We start from the raw sequence: 22510 nt of genomic DNA on the forward strand, positions 1-22510 counted from the left end.
AAAGCATGCACTGAAGCTCAGTCACTTAATTCCTAGGACATCCTACAATCCTCCTCTGAAGTTCTTTTTGTTAGCTCAGAAGTTCTGAGTTAGTTAAATGATTTCCAAGCCCCCAACAATTTAGAAAAGGTACATTAGAAGAAGGGGTGTTAAGATCAGTGTTTGGGGGAAAAAAAGATTTTATTTTTATTTTTTTTGAGACGGAGTCTTGCTCTGTCGCCCAGGCTGGAGTGCAGTGGCGCAATCTCAGCTCACTGCAAGCTCTGCCTCCCGGGTTCATGCCATTCTCCTGCCTCAGCCTCCTGAGTAGCTGGGACTACAGGCGCCCACCACCACGCCCAGCTAATTTTTTGTATTTTTAGTAGAGACAGGGTTTTACCCTGTTAGCCAGGATGGTCTCAATCTCCTGACCTTGTGATCCACCCGCCCTGGCATCCCAAAGTGCTGGGATTACAGGCGTGAGCCACCGCGCCCAGCCCAGATTTTATTTTTTAAGAGGAGCAGCTATCTCATCATATAAATACAAAAACACTGAGGCAGCTGGCACTGGCACTGGTACTATTCAGAGCTTAAGAACTGTGGCTGGAACCCCAGCACTATGGTAGAGGCTGATCAGGGAGGATTGCTTGAACCTGGGAGGTCGAGGCTGCAGTGAGCTGTTATTGCACCATTGCACTCCAGCCTGGGTGACAGAGCAAAATCCTGTCTCACAGACAATTTGTGGCAGTGTAGCTGTTGGCATGATTTAATCCAGGGGAAACAGTAGTACGTCCCAGTGGGCCTGAGAGCACCAGATGCCCACATGACCCCAAGCCCTTAGGAAAGGTTAAGGTATGTTCGGTATGTTCTGTTTAGCCATGCAGTGACACAGTATCCTTAAAAGAGAGTTCTAACCAAGCCAAATTCTGGTGCTTAGAATACCGGGTTAAAATGTTAGCCCTCTGAAAGACTTAGCTATTCAGAAAAATTCTAGGTAAGAGTTTATGCTGCTCTTCCCAATTCCACCGGGCCGAAGGCAAACTAAGACTGCTGAAGCTGAACTGCACTGACAATCCATTGGACCTGAACTCTCCCCACCACTCTGCTCAGACATCCCCAGGTAACTGGCACCATCTCTTCAAGGGTGCAAGGCATGGAGCAGCATAGGTCTTCTGGGACCTCTCATCTGGGAAATGGGAGGGGAGCTCCTTTCTTCTCTGGCAGCCAGGAACAGCTTGGGGGGTGGGCCTCTAGTTCAGGGTGGGGTTTGTGGTGATGTGCTGGGGGGGTGGTAGGAGGGTGGAACATTCTGAGCTGAGGCCGGGCATTCTCTCCCAGAGCTGCTTTAGGGGGGCATCAGCTGAGCAAACTTAGAAAACTCCCCACCACCTCCAACTTTGAACCTCTGTGCCCCCTTCCTTCTTCCCCTGAGGCTGTTGCCAAGTCAGACCCAGAGGGGCCTCCCCAATCCTTGGGCCACATATTTATCTTTGAGATTTGTGTGCCAGAACAATGAAATCCCAAGTGGCAGGAGAGCAGAGGCCTTGTGGGCACTCACAGATGCACATTCCATATGCCTTTCTGGAAGAAAGAACTCAGCTCTCTAGGAAGGAGGTAAGAGTCCAGGAGCCTCTCCCTCAGGAATCCTTGTTTCTCACCAAAGGTGCCAGGAACTGTAGGCAGGGATTCTGTGAGGACTGTGAAGTATCTCAAGCTTTGTAATTCTCTGTATACAGTATTGTTTTTGCCTGGTGTCCTTGTTGTGATGAGCAAGAAAATCCTTAATTTAAAAAAAAGAAAAGCATGATGCTCACTTCTGGCAGCAGCTAGGAGAGAACCAGGAGTCCATCCCCCAGCAGCTTGCCACGGGGGTGGGGGTTGGGGGAGAAACTGGAGCGAGAGAGTGGGTGGTGGCAGTTTTGAAGAGGAAAGGGAAGCCAGCTAAGTCCCAGGACCTGAAGCAAGAAAGAAATGAGGGCGCAGGAAGAGGCCAGATAAGGGAGGCACCCAGCTTCCTCAGGGTCCTTTGATGAGGCAGTGGGCCGCCTTAGTACTTGGACACACAATTTCGTGACAACCGGACGTCTCTGCTTTCTCTAGAACACAACCTGCCTTCTCCCTACCCCACCATCTAAGTGGTCTGAATGTGCACCATGAGGCTGGCTGAACTGGGCACCCATGGTCAACACGCTGCCTCCCCAGTTGGGGGTTTCGCGACTCTCTGGTAGTCTCAGAGAAGCGTGGGAGAGCAGCCAAACGGTCTCCATGCCCCCTGAGAGGGGCTTAGGAATTAGTTGAGAAAGATGACTGATCCAGGAGTCTGGTGGTCACAATAAAAGGACACAGGCACAGGAAACACTGAGTCCAGGGGTCACAGACTCTTCATGACATATTGCATCTTGGTGGAGGCCACACAGGAGAGGGACAGTAGCAAATCTGAGGCCTTCTCTCATACCTAACATGCCCAACAGAGGTGCTACCCAGGAAGTGATGGAGAAAATGATGAACAGTTAGTTTAAAAATGAAAAAACAAAACAAAAATGGAGAAAACATATAAGGGATTGAATTTCTCTAGAAATGCTAGGATTTCATTTTCTGTCATCAGGTGTATTAAGCTGGGTAAGAGGAAAAATAAAGTATTTCCTGCACCGGGCTTCCTGGCTGGGGTGCGGGCATATAAGCAAAGAGCAGAGATTTTTCCTGCTTGGCAGGGCTGGAAGGCACCCTAGGGCCTTGTTATTCCAGGGGTAGTCCAAGGACTAGCAAGCAGCATGGCCATCACCTGGGATCTTCTCAAGAAACTCAGTCTCAAGCCTCAACCTAGACCTTCAGAAACAGAACTTGCATGTTATGATCTCAAGGTGATTTGTGTGCACATTAACACTGGAGAAGCGTTGCCTTAAGGGACAATTCAGGTTTCAAATTACTATCTTTTCTTATGAAAAATCTTTACATAGCATGTAAAGGCAGAGCTGCTTAGTTCTGATGTTGGTTTATTCTGTGTGAGGCCTTGGTCAAGTTCACCAGCAAGATAAACAAGATCCAGAGTATCTAGTAATGTACTTGATGTCAATGAAGAAAGGCTGATCCTTGTGACTGTGGTGGGCATCAGCTGCCCAGGAGCCAGCCCACCCTGACCAACAGCGTGCAGGGTGAGCAAGGCTAGGGAGGCCACACAGCCAGCATACTTGGGAACCACATGAGCCCTACCCAAAAGTGATACAAGAGCTTATCAGTGTTTCACCCAGTCAGAGAAACGCTGGCTGCCAGGCCAGGCTGGGAACTAGGGCTCTTTTCCCAACTATCACCAAGGTAAGTTTTCACAGCCTGGATGTCTCTGGCATCCTTAGGAATGTATTTCACCATTTTCTTTCATGATTCTTAAGAGTGCAGCTAACTTTGAGAACACTGCCACTATTAAGATGACCACTATGTAGCTCTGCTTAATGGCGCCTAGGCCAAGCCGCCCACACCTCAGTCCTGGGGTCTAAGTCCTGAGTCATAAAGAGCCCACCATGGAGACAAGGGCGTTGACCACTGCATGTCAGACAGTTGGTCAAGCTTCCTTTCTGATGGCCAGAGGCAAATTCATAAGCCCAATCAATTCTGCTACTAAGGAAACACCCACAGTCCACTCCTTGTCCCACCAACCCCTGTCCTCTCTGATCACAGGCGAGGGCTCTGCTTTCCCTGTATCCTGCCACATCCACCAAGGGCTCTAGTTTGCCTCCAAGGAGGGGCAGCTGCAAAGACCACAGACACCTCAATTTACATAAAATTATCTCACTCCATTTTATTTAAGATTTTTTTATCCAGTTAGTAAAAGGAAGATGTGTCTCTCTTTATACATATGTACAAGTTCAGTTATAAAAATAGCACATTCAAAGAGAAAAGGCTTGGCATTTTTCTGATTCCCTCTAAATAGCATCTGTACACAGGAATCTGGGTTTGAGCAGGGGAATCTTAATGATTTAAATTAAATGATTCCCCTATACCCCCTACTCCAAAAAAGTTTTAAAAATCAATCTATCGAAACTCAATTCCGCGATTTTCAGGTGTGCAAATCAGAGGCTTGCCCGCCCGGAGGTACCTGCTCCACCAGGGACATCAGGCAGGGACAGGCAGAAACACCTCCCATGCAAACACTGCCCCTCTGTCTCTACTGGAGGGCAGCAAGCTCAGGCTGGCCGGGCTGGGAGGGCCGGTGCCGAGCCTGCCCCCTCTCTCCGCCCTCTTCACCTCACTCCTGCTGTCCCTTCCTCTCTCAGTGCAATATAGACAGTGCATACAGCCAAGCAGGGGACTGAAGGGCATGAGCAGGGAGACTGTGCATTCAGGATGGGCAAAGGGGACTCTGCAAGAGGGGCAGTGAGGCTGTCCTGCTGATTGAGGTGGCTCCTGGTCTCTCTACTGGCTTCTGGGAGTCCCCTGGGTGGAAGGTGCTACGGTTGCTGGTAGGATCTGAAGGTTCTCTTGGTGTGAACCATGCAGGATGGGAGGAATTGCTGGGAACACAACTGCCTGTGGATAGACTTCCTCTAGCCTCTACCATGCTTAGCGGCCTCCACCATCTCTCGCAGTCACTGCTCTCTCCAATGATGACACTCTGGGGTTCAGAGACCTGGGGAGCTGCCTGAAGACTGTGGACAACAGGTATACAATCTCCCTTACTAGCCCTATGAGAAATCACACTCTTAAGAGAAATCTCTACCATGGAAGGCTCTTCACAGCACCTGCGGAGACTTTGCAAGGGACGTGTCAGAGCCGAAGAGTGGAATCGGGATGGAAACAGTATGCCTGAGCATCTAAAGGGGGTCTGTGTCAGGCTTGCCCCGTGAGAGGTTTAAGACTTGGCTATACAGTTCACTTGAGATGCAGTGGGGCTGATCCATGCCCTGTGGCCTTCCTCCTACAGGCACCCCAGATGCTCCTGATGAGACACAGATGATAAAAGTGCTCACACCATCCACCTGCCTGTCCTTCCCCTGCTGGACATTTCCACTTCTGACTCAGGATGCAAGATGCTGCACGGGGCAAGCCATCCAAAGACCACTGGCAGGTCAGGACTCTAGCCCTGGTTTGGTTGAAGGAAGTCGGAGGGCCCAGATGGTTACCGTCCTCCAGAGGGGTTGGTGCCTTTGCCCTGTTTCCGGACCAGAGAGTCTGGGGCTAGGCTGCTGGTCATGTGGAGGTTCTTGGGATTCCCAGGAACATTATTTCCCTTGCTCAAAGGGGAACTCAAAGGAGAAGAGGCGCTTGAAGGTCCAAAGTCAGCAAGGCCAGCAGGCCGAACAAGGGATGTCTGCAGAGGACTGCTGGCGGAGATTCCTGTGGGGACGGAGAGAGACAAGAACGTAAGCACCAGTCCCGCGTAAGCTTCCTTGGAGCCTGTGGCCTTGGTTACCAGAGTCTGAGCTGGAGGAGAAGTGGTGGGCAATTCCTCCCTGCCACTCCTTGCTAACAACTTCTTGGCATGTTTGCTTGCTCTTCCTGTCAACTGTCTTTTCAGTAAGAGGAATAGATTTTTAAGAGAAAATGATACCTACCCAACCCTCTCTATACTACTTCATCCACAGATGGTAAAATGTTCATCTTGACACTCTAGATAGAGCACACATTTTACAATCTGAGACACCAAAGTTACAGGATGAGAGCTGTAACTTACTAGGCACAAACAGGTTTTTCCTTTCTTCTTTCTTGGAACATCAAGTTTGATAAGATGTTTCCTTTTCAATTTCATGCTCCTGCTACTCTCCAGTAAGTCGGGCCAGAGGGTACAAGGCTGCCCACTCTCTATCCTGTGTCTATATTCATACAGTTCTCCTTGCGCTGGCAATGGCCACCCCTGCTCTCCAAGGCCTGTGTCACTTCAAGGGCACAGCTCAAATCCCCCATCTTGAGTGATGACTCCCTGGGCAACAGTGAACTTCCCTTTTTCCTACATAAGCCAAATCCACTTACATGTGATAACACATTGATTCTTCAATTGTTTCATATGTACTGGTTTTACTTTCCAAAAAAGAATTCTAAGTGCTTGATGGGCAGACATGTCTCTCTCCTCATCCACAGTGGAACCACGGGTACTCTCTGAACCACTCCTTTCCCTTGATTTCCATTTCCAGTTGCCAAGCACTGTTGGTTTTTCTTGTGCTGCTCTACCCCCTCTATCTCCCTCACCCTTTCTGCCCTCTACACAGTGCAGGTTCTGAGGAGAAACCCTGATGAGTATATGCAATGCCCCAGCCATGGGTGAGACCCTGCCACGGCAGCCTGGACTACTGGCATGACTGTTGTTTTCCAAGGATGTGGTAAGTTGGCAAAGGGCTAAGAAACACTGGGCGAGGCTATTATACTTCATATTTCCTCTATCATACTTCATATTTCCTGGAAGAACCAATAAATGAAAGCTGAGATTTCTGCAGTAAGAGAAAAGGCAAGTAAACTAACAATTACTGAGCAATTACTACACTCCAAGCACTTTCTATACTAGTATGCCTTTACTTGCTACAACTATGAGCTCATACTAAGCCCACGTATTGAATGGGAAGAAAGGTCTGTAAGTGGCTCTCTCTTTCTCACCACACTCAAATGTCCTGTACTTTATAGCTACAATCATCCTTCACATATCACGGTCACAACAGCCACTTTTTTCCTCAAACTGTCTGCAGCCCCTTGTCACACATCTGCTAAGCTCCTGCCCAGCAGGCCTCGCCATGTGTTTACAACCTTGACTCCTACTGCTCCTCTTCCATGGAACCTAAGCTGCTCAGTGACCCCCAGTATGCCTTGGCCACTGCCAGCTCTCTGTCACCAGTCCAAATCCTTCCTCATTCTTCTCCTCCCTTTTGAATACAGACAGGCAACTTATCAGCAGGACCATGGTTCCCTCTCCTCCTGACCTACAACTGCTGTGGCTGCCTTCTTTTCATTCCCCTGTATTTTGCCGTGGATTGCTGTTAAGAGTACTGCATGCATGGCTTCCCCTTCTCATTGCTATTATACACTCAGGAGCAAGGTCCATGTGGAATACTCCTTTTTACGTTTTTTAGTTTTTGAGAGAGTCTTGCTCTGTCACCCATGCTGGAGTGCAGTGACCTGATCTCAGTGCACTGAAACCTCCACCTCCAGGGTTCAGTCAATTCTCGTGCCTCAGCCTCCCAAGTAGCTGGGACTACAGGCGTGAGCCACCACGCCCATCTAATTTTTTGTGTTTTTTGGTAGAGACAGGGTTTCCTCATGTTGGCCAGGCTGGTCTCGAACTCCTGGCCTCAAGTGATCTGCCTGCCTCAGTCTCCCAAAGTGTTGGGATTACAGGTGTGAGCCACTGTGCCTGGCCCATGTGGTATACGCCTATGCATGCAGCAGGTGCCTCATATCTAGGTGATAAATCACACAGCTGAATGAACGTTAACTATGCTAATTTGGATTACTAAAATGTGGATCTCAGAAATGAAAGCCTAGGAAGAAAACAAATCCCCAAAGCAAGAAAAATTCAGAATGTTTAAAGTAGTACAGTTCACAATTCAGCTCTCCCTTTTTACAACTACTTCCAATCCACAGACAGCCCTGTACCGTCAGGAGGGCAAGGGGTGAGTCAACAGTGCTTATTACAAAGAAGAAGAACCCCAATTGGGGCTCTAGGAAGAAAGCTCCCGGCTTCAGGGTTTCCTACATGTTCTACCTGACTGACAGAATTTCTAGACTGTCTCTGACCAGAACAAAGTCTGCAGCCACCCTGGGCTTCTGTACCTTTAGACACGTTGTACCCGTATGCGGCATAGGCAGCTGCAGAGGCCGCTGCAGCCCCGGCTTTGGCTCCTGCCATTGCAGCAGCACTGCCTGCCGTGGACTTTCGGCTCCGGCCCTTCCCTGCTCCTTTGGCTGTGCTTCCTGAACCTTTGGGGCGGCCTCGGCTTCGGGCTGAGTGACCACGTCCTGCAGCTGGCATTTCCTGAATGGAAATTCCTGTGGGAACAAATGGGCCAAAAGGGAAAGAAAAAAAAAAAAAGTCAATCTCCAAGATGTTAACATCACCTTCTCCTGACAGGGAAAGCGAGCTCTTAGGGCATTTGTTTTAGGACCCATGAGGAGGTCTATGTCTCCACTTAATGATGGCTAGACCACTGAGTCACACAGAATACTAAGAATTCTAAACAATGAAAACATCCTAACTCCTCAAGCTGCTTTTCATTCTGAAGAGCAGTTACATTACTCCTGAGTTTCCTCTTTAAATTTGTCCATTACAAAGGGAAGCGACTTGCTACCTGGGACTCATCTGCACACTCTAATGTGCTCTTGCCTTGGAGAGTCAAATTTTACCCTCGAGTTTTGAACCCAGAGCTCCCCAAGAAATGGCAGCAACACTAGACCCCACACAGCAAAGTGAGGAAAGGCCCAGAAAAGCTAACATTAATTAAAAATCAGCAAAAATAATGGTGAATCTGAAAGTCGGGGATGACTAGAAAAGTTTTAAATCTTTATAAAGTTACTTATTTTGCTTTCCCTAAACCTCGTTTTCTCATTTCACTTGACAAAGCTATTGAAAGAATAAAAATACCATTATCCTAGAAGGAATCAGGACCTTACCCACAACCAAACCAGTGCTGGGCAGTGGACCAGGCCCAAGCTGTACAAGACAGCAGCAATTACCATTCACGGTATCTGAGACGGAGCCTGTTATGGATGCGGGAGAGTTGGTAGCTCGAGACTGAGGGGCTGAGGAGGCTGGGTCATCCACAATGACCAGCATGTCACTGCTGCTCTCGTCCAGGGGAATGGAGCCAGTGTGCAGCTCACTGCTGATGGAGATCTAGAAGAGGAAGGGTTAAGATCATTACGACCCCCTGTGCTCACCGCCCATGGCCTTGCACCCAGCTAGGAACATGCTTCACAGTTGAGGCTGCTTTGGCTTCTGAGAAACCAACCTGTCCTCATTTGTTTTTCTCCTTACAGACCTCATGTGCAACCTACTTCAACAAGGCTGGAGAACTCCAGGAGAAGCAAAGACTGCCCAGCAGTGTGTCCCTGCTACACGGTCAGGACACTCCTTACGGCTGTGATGCAGGCATCTAAAAGGAGCCTCACCTCACTGAAAGGGCTTGGCATGGCTGAGTCCACGCTAATGAAGGAGTCATCTCCGTCAGCAGAGAGGTTGGAGTTATCAGCCGAGGGAACAAATGGGATCACCAGGTTCACACCCTCTTTTCTCCTTTTCCCATCCAATTCATCTTCTTTTTTCTTCTGGGAACACACGGATAAATATGGAAAACGTGTGAGGATGCACCCCAAAAGAAAAGCGGGATTTGGGAAGAAAAGGATAACAGAACTTTTATTCTTTAGTTTATAAACTTCTCAATTAGCATATTTTTACGGAAGAAAAACTGCATAAGGAAGAAGGGATAGCTTAACAGGAGTTTGTGTGTATTTCAGTCGAGTACTGTGGCACATGCCTGTAATTCCAACTACTTAGGCTGAGGTGGGAGGATTACTTGAGCCCAGAAATTGGACCCCAGCTCAAAAGAAAAAAAAAAAAAAGAGCTTATGAATATCTGCCACAATAATAGAGTTTAAAGTTGGGGCAGTCACACTGAACCAGAGCCACACCAACCCTGATCCTAATGGGCCGAAGAGCCTCACCAGCCGCTGGCACATCCAGCACTTATTGAGGCTGACTGAATGCAGTCCCACAAAAGAGAGGGCCAATGCTTTCAATATATTTTCTACATATCTGTTTTTAAGACAAATTTTTAAGACAGTTCAAATCCTTGGTGTGAACTAGAGAAAAACAGATGAACAGACATTTAGAAATAAACCGGGGGTTTATTTTTCTAGTGACAGATGACACTGAGTGGTACACTAGCAGAATTATGGTAGGTTTGTGGATCTCATGACCTCTTAGGCCCCTTCTAAGATTCTATGGAGCCTTATAAGTAATGCCCATCTTAGTCACATTTTAGCCTTCCACGCTTTGTAACAGCCCTGACAAATGGTTTCCATAATTAAACTGTGACCACCGTAAGGGTGAGTTTGTGTGGAGAGTACAGATCTACCAAGGCCACATTTCTCCTGAGCAAAGCGTGAGTCAGCCCAGAAATGTAGCTGATCATACACAGCTGGAGCTTGATAGCAACCAGTAACCAAGATGAGAAGCCATGTACCCCAAAGCCTTTTTGGTAAGTACCCCAGGCCCCATTAGCCCCTATCCACCATTCCAGGCTGGAAATACCTTCTCTGCATACTTTTCCCGCTTCCGCTTGCGCTCTTTCACTCGGTTGGTTTCCTCCTGTTGCCGTTTCTCTTCCTGCCGCAGCCTCACTATCAAGAAAATGAATTAAGACCTGATGAAGTACCTGTGGTAATCATAATCCTCACTCTCTTAATTAAGGTGGCCATATCCCCTGATGTTTATTTTCCAAGTATCACTTCTATCTGTTTAAGGCAGATAACCAGTGGTTTTCTAACTTGGATTCTCAATTTTGGGTTTAAATCACACTCTTATTTTAAGCATTATGGGCTGGCTCGGTGTGGTGACTCACGTCTGTAATCCCAGCACTTTGGGAGGCTGGGGCAGGCTGATGGCTCAAGCCCAGGAGCTTGAGACCAGCCGGGCCAACATAGTGAAACCCCATCTCTATAAAAATACAAAAATTAGCCAGGCACAGTGGTACGCGCCTGGGTCCCAGCTACCCCAGAGGCTGAGTCAGGAGGACTGCCTGAGCCCAGGAAGTGGAGGTTGTGGTGAGCCAGGATTGTGACACTGTACTCCAGTCTGGGCAACACAGCAAAACTCTGTCTAAAAAAAAATTATTATAGGCCTTTCCTCATGTTATTCTTTTTCCCTTTTTCATTTCAGCCTTTTAATCTCTGCTTTGCACACATTGAGCATGGCTGTAGAGTTCTGAAAGGTTTTAGAAGGTGCTGGCAAATGTGAACTTACTTTCTGCTCTAATGCTGTGGAAGGCTTCAGAGGCTCACAGGATGAATCTGAAACCCAATGCTCTCAAAAGCCAGAAAACACATGGGAGGAGGGTTTGTATGGTTACAGCTGCGTGCTTCTCCAACTTTTCCATAAAAACATTTTTCTGGGCAGAAGAGCAAATTCACTACTGCTAAGGAGTCAGCTGCCTTCCTTGTGCAAGCTACATTATTTGAAGCCACATTTACCTTTAAAATACACACAAATTTTGCCTTCTACTCCACAATGCTTTTTTTTTTTTTTTTTTTTTTTTTGAGATGGAATCTTGCTCTTGTTGTCCAGGCTGGAGTGCAATGGCACGATCTTGGCTCACTGCAACCTCTGCCTCCTAGCTTCAAGGGATTCTCCTGCCTCAGCCTCCCGAGTAGCTGGGATTACACGTGCCCACCACCACGCCCGACTAATATTTGTATTTTTAGTAGAGACGGGGCTTCACCAGGTTGGCCAGGCTAGTCTTGGAACTCCTGACCTCGTGATCCACCTGCCTCGGCCTCCCAAAGTGCTGGGATTACAGGTGTGAGCCGTCTTGTGTTTTTTGTTTTTGTTTGTTTTTAAAAGATGGAGTTTCACTCTTATTGCCCGGGCTGGAGTGCAATGGCATGATCTCGGCTCACTGCAATCTCCACCTCCTGGGTTCAAGCAATTCTTCTGCTTTAGCTTCCCAAAGTGCTGGAATTACAGGTGCCCGCTACCATGCCCAACTAATTTTTTGTATTTTTAGTAGAGGTGGGGTTTCACAATGTTGGCCAGGCTGGTCTCAAACTCAAACTCCTGACCTCAGGTGATCTGCCCACTTTGGCCTCCCGAAATGCTGAGATTAGAGGCGTGAGCCACCATGCCTGGCCTACAAACACATTCTTGTTTGGGTTTTTATATAAAATATGAGCACAAAAATACTTTCCCTAAATACAGCCTCTGGCTTTGCCTACCCTTGGCACACAGCCAAGTACCTCTTCCATTCTCAGATACGTGAGGGGAGTGTATAGAGGTTTAGAGTACATACGTTTCTTCTCCAACTCTTCGTCGTCTAGAAGAAGACTAACCACCTCTTTGGGTTTCAAGGTATCTGGTTTGAAGTTCCCACCTGAAATCACCATCCGCTGAATCTACACCAAAGCAGATCAAAATGTCACCTCCAGGCATCCATTCCCTTATGGCAAATATCCAGAAAAAGATACACATCGTTCTCAACCCACTCCTCAGGGGAGGCCTCTGGTTTCCTATTTCTTCTTTTCTCCCTTTTCATTTCAGTTCATCTGATTGGCTCATCCAGATTATTTGTCCGACAGAAGGAAAATGATAACTTCTTTGCTTGGAACTGCTAACTAGAAAATCTAAGGCTACTGAATCAGGATGAAAAAAACAAAAAATAACAAATTTGGCATACAATTCAGAGGCAGATAAGCTGAGAGTACTAGGATAGGAACTAAAAAATGTCCATCCTTCTTCCACTGAATGCGAGAGGCCATTACCGGTGTCAGTCTCCACATGAACAACAGCTGGATCCAGGCTATGGAAACCATTCTAGGGGAAAGGGAATGAGGCATGGCCAGGGAAGTCAAAATTGCTATTGCATGGGACCTGATTTTATTTTCTATTCAGAAGAAATTGTAGTTTCGTCAGGACCAATGAAAGGCAAGAGAGTTTTAAAATAGTCTCAATGCAGTCAATGTGGTTGGACTTTCTGTTTGCTCCACCAGTGTAGGAATTTCTTTCTCTTGTGCTTACCTCACTCTTCTCCTTGGCTCTTTGCAGAATGCGTTCTTCAATGGTGCCTTTACAGATGAGCCGGTACACAGTAACCTGCTTTGTCTGCCCTAAGCGGTGGGCCCTGTCCATGGCCTGCTGGTCCACAGTGGGGTTCCAGTCGCTATCATAGAAAATCACCTGCATAGAATATAGCAAAAACTGAAGCACTCTTAGGGAAGGACCAGAAATTCTGAGAGCAACCCAGCCAATTGTCTGTTTGCGAGTTTGGCGTCAGTAGGGTCTGATTCGTTTCTATGATATTGAGCTAAGTAAGATACATCTTAGAAGATACAAAGCCGTTCCTTCACATGCCCTGAGCAAAAGATACATGCTCCTGTTTTATTTTTTTCAGTTTTCACTTAAAAAGAGTGGCAATAATATTAATAGTTAAAACGTAGTGTTTAGTACATTAATAACATTAACGGTTAACACTTACAGTGCATTGTTCTAAGTGCATTAACTCATTTAAATCCCAGAATTATCACTGTTATTTGTGCTGAGAAAAAAAATCCCATAATCGTCATTATTTAAATGCTGTTAAGACTCACATATTTTGTAGTTTAGGAGAATGAGGCACAAATGAGCTAGACAATTTATCCAAGATCACATTGCTTAACTAAGCACCACTGCTCCCAACTATTCACAAGGCTGAGGTGGGAGGATTGCTTGAGCCTGGGAGGCAGAGGTTGCGGTGAGCTGAGATTGTACCACTGCACTCCAGCCTGGGTGACAGAGCAATACCCTGTCTCAAAAACAAAACAGGTCAGCTGTGGTGGCTCACACCTGTAATCCCAGCACTTTGGGAAGCTGAGGTAGGTAGATCACCTGAGGTCAGGAGTTAGAGACCAGCCTGGCCAACATAGTGAATCCCCATCTCTGCTAAAAATACAAAAACTAACCAGGCTTGGTGGCTCACGCCTGTAATCCCATCACTTTGGGAGGCCAAGGCGAGTGGATTACTTGAGGTCAGGAGTTTGAGACCAGCCTGGCTAACATGGTGAAACCCCATCTCTACTAAAAATACAAAAATTAGCTGGGCGTGGCAGTGCGTGCCTGCAATCCCAGCTATCTGGGAGGCTAAGGCAGGGGAATTGTTTGAACCTGGGAGGCAGAGGTTGCAGTGAGCCGACACTGCATCACTGCACTCCAGCCTGGGCGACACAGTGAGCCTCCGTCTCAAAAAAAAAAAAAAATTAGCCAGGTGTGGTGGCAGGCACCTGTGGTCCCAGCTACTCAGGAGGCTGAGGCAGGAGAATTGCTTGAACCCAGGAGGCGGGGAGTACAGTGAGCTGAGATCATGCCATTGCACTCCAGCCTGGGCAACAAGAGAGAAACTCTGTCACAAAACAAAACACTGGGGCTATGCTGGAAACAGGCATGGCTTTCCCTAGAATTCTCAGGCTCTCATCAACAGTCATTTACTAGCCCATGAATTCCCAGGATGGAATGTTTAAAGGGTTCTCTGGAAGTGACTTCTAGTTTGCTGAGCAACAAACAAATTAACAACAAAATATATCACCACTAAGTGAGTGATCCTAAAACAAACTCCTCAGTCCTCAACCCTTGAGGCTACCATCCAACATGGCGGACCAGTTCAAAATGGCCCTCATATCTCATGTGTTGTCCTTTATATCCAATCAAAAGTCACCAAATCCAGCCACTGCTTCAAAAATGAACCTGTCCTTTCTACTGTAACAATCCCACTGTTTCCATTCTAGACCAGGCCCTCACAACCTACATCTGGATTAGCACTCTGTTACATCAGCAGGACTCTTAGATCTCGGTCTCTTTCCTCTTCAGTCTACCTTGGCTACCACTGTGGGCCACTCCAGCTCTCTGCCAGTTACACACCTGCCTCAGCCTCCTGAGTAGCTGAGATCACAGGTGCCTGCCACCATGTCCAAACTCTCCTAAATAATCAGGCCCTGCTATAGAGAGCCAACTTTATTTTCTATTCTTTCCTAACACAAATATGCCCTTTCCCTTTAGTCAGATGGGTCTCTTCAGTGGTCCTGGCTTATAATACATTTGTGTACACCTCTTATTGCTCAAGCTGTTTCTCTGAACTAGAATCCCAAAACTCTTCTTTATTGGTCCTTTCAGGTTTAGTTCAAGCTTCTAGGAAGCTCGCCCTGTTTTCTCTTGCCTATAATAATGTCTCCTTTTCTTTTCTTATCCCTATTCCCCCTGGATTCCTATTAGAAATAATAATGGCTAAAATTTGTTGGGTACTTATGAGCCCAGGACTAGTATGCATATATCTCTCACTGAATTCTAAAAAAAAAAAAATCCTATGTCTATCCTCCATCTTACAAGCAAGGAAGAGACTGGTCTGAAATCACAGCAAGGGGCTGGGGTGGGGAGTGACCTAACAGTCTCCCTCCACAACCTACAGTAGTAACAAAACTTGGCATTGCCTACCTACCTTGGTCCAAGTCCCCACTTAATCACTAACTTCTATGGTGTCAATTATTTCATGTGTACTATTTGAAAGAGTGAGTCATCTTTCTTGAAACTGTTTCTGTCTCTCTTTTTCTTTTCTGAGACAGGGTCTTGCTCTGTCATCCAGGCTGAAGTACAGTGGCATGATCTTGGCTCACTGCAGCCCCAAACTCCTGGGCTCAAGCAATCCTACCATCTCAGCTTCCCAAAGTGTTGGAATTACAGGTATGAGCCACTGCACCTGGCCAAAATGGTTTCCCTCCATTTTTAGCACAGGTTAGAATCCTTGGGAAGAACAATGTAAACTGCTGGCGAAAGAAAGTCACCGTGAATGCTTATTGTTAATCTAGTGTCCTGCAAACCTAAGATTTAGAAGTGCACAATGCTTGTTGCCTCTAGAGGAACTTAACAAACCTGACCACACGACATTTTGGTTTCAAAGAGGACATAAGAACTTCCAGAAGACCAAGTTTGAACTAGAAGACCAAGTTTGAACTTTCAGGGAGAACAGAGCTAACAAAAGTGAAGACCTTCAGTTGGACTAGAGGATAACATTACTTGCCCAGTGTATTTTTTTCATCTTTTTTTCTGGTTCATGTTGTCCCATGATGCCCAATGTATTTAAAATGACCACAAATGTGGAATTTGAGGGCTGATGTCACACCCAAAAGACAGTATCTTGAGCTGTCTAAGCTTGAGGCTATGGTTCAGCACGAATTCATAATGTGGGGATGTGGGTGGTGGAGGTGGGTGGAGGGAGAGCCATATAATGAATTGTTTCATAAGTACTGTCTTAACATTTACATTTTTTCCTAGAAGACCCAGTGGCAACCAAACCTGATTCAACTTGTGTTCTTTTGAGCTCATGAACAGTAAGATTAAAGCCTAAGGAGATGGGTTTACAATCTTAACTTCAAAAATCTCCAAATATGGAAGATATTTATCCTTTACATGGATTCCAAGAGGTGGGGAATTTGGGAGGAAAACAGAAAAAAATAGGATTGTTTAGAAAAATACCTGTGCAGCGGAAAATATGAAATACGTACAAACTAATAGGTTAAGAACAAGAGTGAGAGAACTAAAAACCAAGGCAGATGTATGGTTACCATCTAATCTAACACTGAATTAACCGTGATGTGAACTGGAGGGAGTGGTGAGGGAGACAATGCACCACTGTGGAACAGGGATGATGCCTATATTTGGCAGTTGGGTTTATGGAGCTCAGTGAGACATTCCAGAAAAAAACAAGTAACAATTAAAGGATTAGAACAACTGATTTAACTAGGAAAGATTAAGGCAAGTCAATCCACAAAGCGTGGCCCAGCAGTGACTAAGGAGAAATAGTAGTCAATGCCTTCATGACATTGTAAACACCAAGCAGGGCAGGCACAAGGGAAGAGAGGTGAGAGTTACCATGCGGTAGAGGGGCCTGGCTGTATAGGTCAGTGAGAAGGAGTTTCAGGGGATGAGAGAATGAGATTTAAAACAGGAAAATTTCTTTCTTTTTTTTTTTGAGATGGAGTCTTGCTCTGTCGCCCAGGCTGGAGTGCAGTGGCAAGATCTTGACTCACTGCAAGCTCCGCCTCCCGAGTTCACGCCATTCTCCTGCCTCAGCCTCCCGAGTAGCTGGGAGGGACTACAGGCGTCCGCCACCATGCCCGGCTCATTTTTTGCATTTTTAGAGAGACGGGGTTTCACTGTGTTAGCCAGGATGGTCTCGATCTCCTGACCTCGTGATCCGCCAGCCTGGGCTTCCCAAAGTGCTGGGATTACAGGCGTGAGCCACCGGGCCCTGCTGAAACAGGAAAATTTCTAGAAGAACAAGTGGGAAAAGTTGGACCAACACTTGGAGGGTGGAGCTTTTTCTCCCAAGAGAATAAGCGGAGGTTCGGCCTCTGCAGAGGGCTAAAAGCTGTCCTGTGAGACAGGACTTCTTGAATCCCTGCAAAGGGAGAAAAGCTCTTCATTCTCACTACACATAAGCATTTAAAACAGGTCTGACACAGAAACACAAACAGTGCAGTTTATAACAACCCCTTACTAAACAGAGTCAAATGCAAAGACAACCCTACTTCAGGAAGCATATACAGTGACACAGTAAAAGGCAGCTGCCATACATCATTTGCTAAAACCATGTTTTTACTAACCAAGTAGGCCAGATAGAGTCCCACTATTTATAAATACATTTTTACATATGCATTCTCAATCATAAGACATTAGGTTTTTCCTGACATTTTTAGGTTGATTAATCTCTTCCTTGTCCATAAATGGTTCTGGGGAAATCCCAAAGCTAAATAAATCTCAGGGCAAAGGAAAAATGCCAGACAAGCAACTAATCCTACTGTTTCTCTAGCAACACACACACAGTATATCCTCGGAATTAATTTCAATCTTGCTGTCTCATTTTTCTAAGAACTATTCCAGGAGCTTCTGATTTACAAGTGAATCCCCAAGCCCTTCCCCCAAAATTAAAATGTAAATTACTTCAGAATTCAGAAATCAGAGTATTCAGAGCCTTTCTCTTTTTTTCTTGAGGCAGGAGCTCTCTGTGTTGCCCATGTTGGAGTGCAGCGGCACAATCACAGCTCACTGCAGTCTTGACCTTCTGGGCCCAAGCAAACCTCCCACCTCAGCCTCCCGAGTATCTGGGATCACAGGCATGTGCCACCACGCCTGACTAATTTAAAAAACTTTTTTGTACAGATGGGGTCTTGCTATGTGGCCCAGGCTGGTTTCAAACATCTGCCCTCAAGCAATCCACCCACATCGGCCTCCCAAACTGCAGGGATTACAGGCATGAGCCACCATGCCCAGCCTAGAGCCCCTTTCTGGCCTTCAGGATGAAAAAAGAATTCCTACTCTTATTCCTCTACTTATGGATCAGAGGCCTAGGCCTACTTTGCTTCTTTGTGGCTGGCAGGACGCTCTTTACTCCTACAGGGCAAACTATGTGAACCTTGGAAGCAAGGTGCAGATCTCTCTTTAAATCTGCTTAGTTTTTTTTTTTCTTTAACCATTTAAATGAACAACCGGAGAAACTATTCCTTAAGAAACCATAGACTAAACCTGAGATAGGCAAGCTGAGAAGAAGAGAAACATACTTTAATAAAATGAAATTGTGCTAGACCTTCCCAGGTGACCTCATACAGCCTCTTAAATATCATCTACAACCTGATGATTTGAAAATACAGCTTTAAGGCCAGGAGTGGTGGCTCACGCCTGTAATCCCAGCACTTTGGGAGGCGGAGGCAGGCAGATCACCTGAGGTCAGGAGTTTTGAGACCAGCCTGGCCAACGTGGTAAAACCCCATCTCTACTAAAAATATAAAAATTAACTGGGAATGGTGGTGCCCGCCTGTAGTCCCAGCTACTCGGGAGGCTGAGGTGGGAGAATCACTTGAACCTGAGAGGTGGAGGTTGAAGTGAGCCGAGATCAAGCCACTGCACTCCAGCCTGAATGACAGAGCAAGACTCTGTCTCAAAAAATAAATAAATAAATAAAAAGAAAAAGAAAATACAGCTTTAACCCCAATCTTTCTCCTGAACTTCAGACTCTGCTGCCTGGGTGATATTGCCACTTAACCTCTGATACTCCTAACTGATCTTCCTGTTTATGTCTCCTTGTAGCATTTCATTTTTTTCTCCCACTCTAAACAGAAGCTAGAAGGATGCATTTAAAACTCAAACCAGATCATGTTACTCCTCTGTTCAAATTCTTGCAATCGCTCCCCATCTCAAAGTCCTTACCATGGCTACTAACCCCTATATGATCTGCTTCTGCAATAGCCATCTCATACTACTCTCCCCATAGTTGATTCTGTTCTACCTGCTCTGGGCTGCTTCCTTTTGCTTGATTATGCCAAGCATGTTCTCACCTTAGGGCTTTGCACTTATCTCCTCTGCCTGGAATGCTCTTCTTTCTGCCAGGTATATGCTTAGGTTGCCGCCTTACTTTCTTCAGATCTTGGCTCAAATGTCACCTTATCAGAGATGCCTTACCAATCCATATAAAACAGCAACCCCTGATCATTCTCATGCTACCACTCCTTACCTGATGAATTTTTCTTCATAGCATTCATATTATCAGTTTTTTGTTTGTTTTTGAGATGGAGTCTCACTGTGTCACCCAGGCTGGAGTACAGTGGCACGATCTTGGCGCACTGCAACCTCTGCCTCCCGGGTTCAAGCAATTCTCCTGCCTCAGCCTCCCGAGTAGCTGGGACTACAGGCGCCCACCACCAAGCTCAGCTAAATTTTTTTGTATTTTTATTAGAGACAGGGTTTCACCATATTGGCCAGGCTGGTGTCGAACTCCTGACCTTGTGATCCGCCTGCCTCTGCCTCCCAAAGTGTTAGGATTACAGGTGTGAGCCACTGCACCTGGCCCCATATTATCAGTATTTTTTCCATTTCTTTATGCTTTGTCTCCTCTCCTGCCACTGGAAATGTAATTTATAGTAACTATGAAGATAGAAATGGAACTTTGTTTTGTTGCATGCTGAATTCCCAGTGCCTAAAACAACGCTGGGCCCTTGGTGGATGCTCATTAAACATTTGTTGAATGAATCAATGAATGAATGAACAAATGAACAAACTGTTCCAGGTACTAGAAATAGACTTAGGCTGGAGTGCAGTGGTGCAATCTTGGCTCACTGCAACCTCCGCCTCCTGGGTTCAAGTGATTCTCCTGCCTCAGCCTCCCGAGTAGCTGGGACCACAGGCATGCGCCAGCACATACGGCTAATTTTTGTATATTTAGCAGAGATATGGTTTCACCATGCAGGCCAGGCTGGTCTTGAACTCCTGACCTCAAGCCATCTGCCCACCTCAGCCTCCCAAAGTGCTGGGATTACAAGCGTGAGCCACCGCGTTCAGCCTAGAAATGCAGACTTTTGACTTCCTTCCATTGTTGAGGCCAAAGTCTAGTATGTAAAATAATTACTTACAATGTATTTTGATTAACTTGAATAAAGGGAGGGGCTGGGAAAGGAATATTGACACCTGAATGGGGTTTTAAAGAACAAACAGAAGTTCACCAGGTGGAAGAGGAGACTCATGGGAGGATGACTTAGGCTGAGGGAACAGTTTATCCAACAGTGTGATATGGCATGGTGTGTTCAGGGAACTAGAAGTCAATCATTATTTCTGGAATATAAAATTTGGAAGGGAAAGTGGTCTGATAATTAAGCTATAAAGGTAGATAAAGGACACAAATGAAGAGCCTTATACTTTATTTTATAATTGATGAAGAATTCCTGAAGAGTTTTAATCAAAGGAGTGGCATGATTAATAAAGGGCAGAGAGAAACTAACAGAGTACCAGCATAGCAAAGAATGGATTTGGATCAACAGGTATGAAGCCGGGAACTGAGAGTGGAGTCCAAAAGAGCAGCTGGGACAAAGTGATGAATCTTGTACTCACATTGAGAGTATGACTATGCTGAAATTCTTAAAAGATACAGAGAGCAGGGAACCAAGAGATAACAAGGAAAAAGGCAAGTTTCTACTATCTGATATGGTAGAAACTATGTGATATGGCTCAAGTGAGCCACCACATCAGAGAACCCACAGGAACAACACATGCCACACTGACAGCCCTCCCATAGTATGACAGATGCTGATGATGTACAGCTACCCAGCAATGCCTCCAGTGGCCCTCAGGCGCTGACGTCTTGCCGTACCTGGTTAACTGAAAGTTTAGATGCCAAGGAAGGTGCATCCTATAGTTGCTATTACAGAATGTGTAGTATCAGATTAGTGAGAGAGAGAGAGAGAGAGATTCCCCCTGCTGCTGTGAATCTATTCAAGCCTCTACACTCTTGCACCTCATTTCTCCACTACCCTCATGAGTTTGCTTTCTCCTCACAGTTGTGGGGATTTTGATGTTCTATATGTCAGAGAGGCACCACGATAGTTACATTAAGTGCCATTTTTAGAGTCATGCCTTTTATAAAATAATTTCCCATTTACGTATTTTTAAATCTCAAAGTTACTAAAATTCTTATTAAATATATTTGAATCTTAGCAATAATTTTGAGATTCAAAAAGAATCCTCTTTTCTTTTTGAGACAGTCTCACTCTGTCGCCCAGAGTGGAGTGCAGTGGCATGATCTTGGCTCACTGCAGCCTCTGCCTCCCGGGTTCAAGCGACTCTCCTGCCTCACCTCCCGAGTAGCTGGGACTACAGGCATGTGTCACCACGCCCGGCTATTTTTTTTGTTTTTTTTTGGTAGAGACGTGGTTTCACCATGTTGGCCAGGATGATCTTGATCTTCTGACCTGGTGATCCACCCGCCTTGGCCTCCCAAAGTGCTGGGATTACAGGCATGAGCCACCACGCCCAGCCAGGAATCCTCTTTTCTTCACCCTTTCAAACACTGAAGCATTCCTGCAAGAAGACTGGGTAGGAAAGAGTGGATAATTTGTTGGAATATCTTTTCTACTTTATTTTTGAAATTACCCTTTTCATTGCTCTCCAACCACCTTTTGAAGTTCAGGATACAAAAAATGGGTTTTTCCATTAATGGAATAATGCATAAGAGTAACAAAACAATCCTTTCTGATGTGTTCAATTATAGCTCCTAAAACAAATCTGGATGGACTGATTGTTTTTCCAGTCTGTTTTCCCTGATGTACCCTAAATGTCTCAAACAGTATCAGACACATAGTAGGCATTAGTGAAATATTTGTCGAATGAATGTGTAAGACACTTATTCAGGCGAGGTGCAGTGGCTCACACCTGTAATCCCAGTACTTTGGGAGGCTGAGGCAGGTGGATCACTTGGGCCTCAGAGTTCAAGACCAGCCTGGGCAACATGGCAAAACCCCATCTCTACAAAAAATACAAAAATTAGCTGGGCATGGTGGCGCATGCCTATAGTCCCAGCTACTTGGGAGGGTGAGGTGGGAGGATCACCTGAGGCTGGGGAGGTTGAAGCTACAGTGACCCATGATCATGCCACTGCACTCCAGCCTGGGCAACAGAGTGAGGCCCCATCTCAAAAAACAAAAACAAAAAAACTTGTTCAAAGAAAATGAATAGTAAAGTCCATAAGGAAAGCTAAAATACTCTAGTTCCAGTCAAAGAGCAACTAGAGTCTTTTAACACAAGAGGCAAAGAAATAAAAAGTTTGCAAGTTTGTGACACAAAAGCAAAGGGTAAAACAAACAATGCCATATTAGAAAAACCTACATAGTAGGTTTCATAGTAGAAAACCTGCATATCTAGTTGATTGTGCTCTCATTACTTACTGTGTCTGCAGCAGTGAGATTGATACCCAGTCCTCCAGCTCGTGTGCTTAACAGGAACACAAAGATGTCATTCCTGCAGAAAAGGGAGAGATATGTTAAAGGAAAAACTGAAAAG

General features: G+C 45.9%; 1 protein-coding gene and 1 long non-coding RNA gene across 5 annotated transcripts in view, besides 1 other annotated feature; one reads left to right on the top strand and one right to left on the bottom strand.

Moving 5' to 3' along the window:
* Positions 756-1955: an enhancer, noted in NCBI's record as "CDK7 strongly-dependent group 2 enhancer chr15:41268087-41269286 (GRCh37/hg19 assembly coordinates)". NCBI's record gives its function as "activates an origin of replication core promoter dependent on BRD2, BRD4, P300/CBP, MED14 and CDK7 cofactors, with strong dependence on CDK7, by STARR-seq in HCT116 cells {active_cell/tissue: HCT116}" and the evidence as "EXISTENCE:reporter gene assay evidence [ECO:0000049][PMID:35650434]".
* Positions 3747-22510, bottom strand: part of INO80 (INO80 complex ATPase subunit) — a 137401-nt gene continuing 118637 nt past the window's right edge. For all 4 annotated transcript variants that reach the window (NR_104038.2, NM_017553.3, XM_047432698.1 and 1 more), the window contains 8 exons: positions 22396-22468; positions 12683-12841; positions 11958-12060; positions 10205-10293; positions 9064-9219; positions 8629-8788; positions 7729-7944; positions 3747-5307 (listed from right to left, as the gene is read on the bottom strand). Coding sequence is in view for 3 of the 4 variants with exons in the window: in NM_017553.3 (NP_060023.1) it covers positions 5090-5307; positions 7729-7944; positions 8629-8788; positions 9064-9219; positions 10205-10293; positions 11958-12060; positions 12683-12841; positions 22396-22468 (1174 nt within the window). In the remaining variant the exon portion in view is untranslated. The remainder of the gene's footprint in view (positions 5308-7728; positions 7945-8628; positions 8789-9063; positions 9220-10204; positions 10294-11957; positions 12061-12682; positions 12842-22395; positions 22469-22510) is intronic.
* On the top strand, positions 5244-9070 carry LOC124903476 (uncharacterized). The gene is made up of 3 exons (XR_007064602.1): positions 5244-5333; positions 6177-6287; positions 8932-9070. It is a non-coding gene; the product is annotated as an uncharacterized LOC124903476 (long non-coding RNA).

This window comes from Homo sapiens, chromosome 15 (genome assembly GCF_000001405.40).
Source record: "Homo sapiens chromosome 15, GRCh38.p14 Primary Assembly".
NCBI classification, from domain to species: Eukaryota; Metazoa; Chordata; class Mammalia; order Primates; family Hominidae; genus Homo; species Homo sapiens.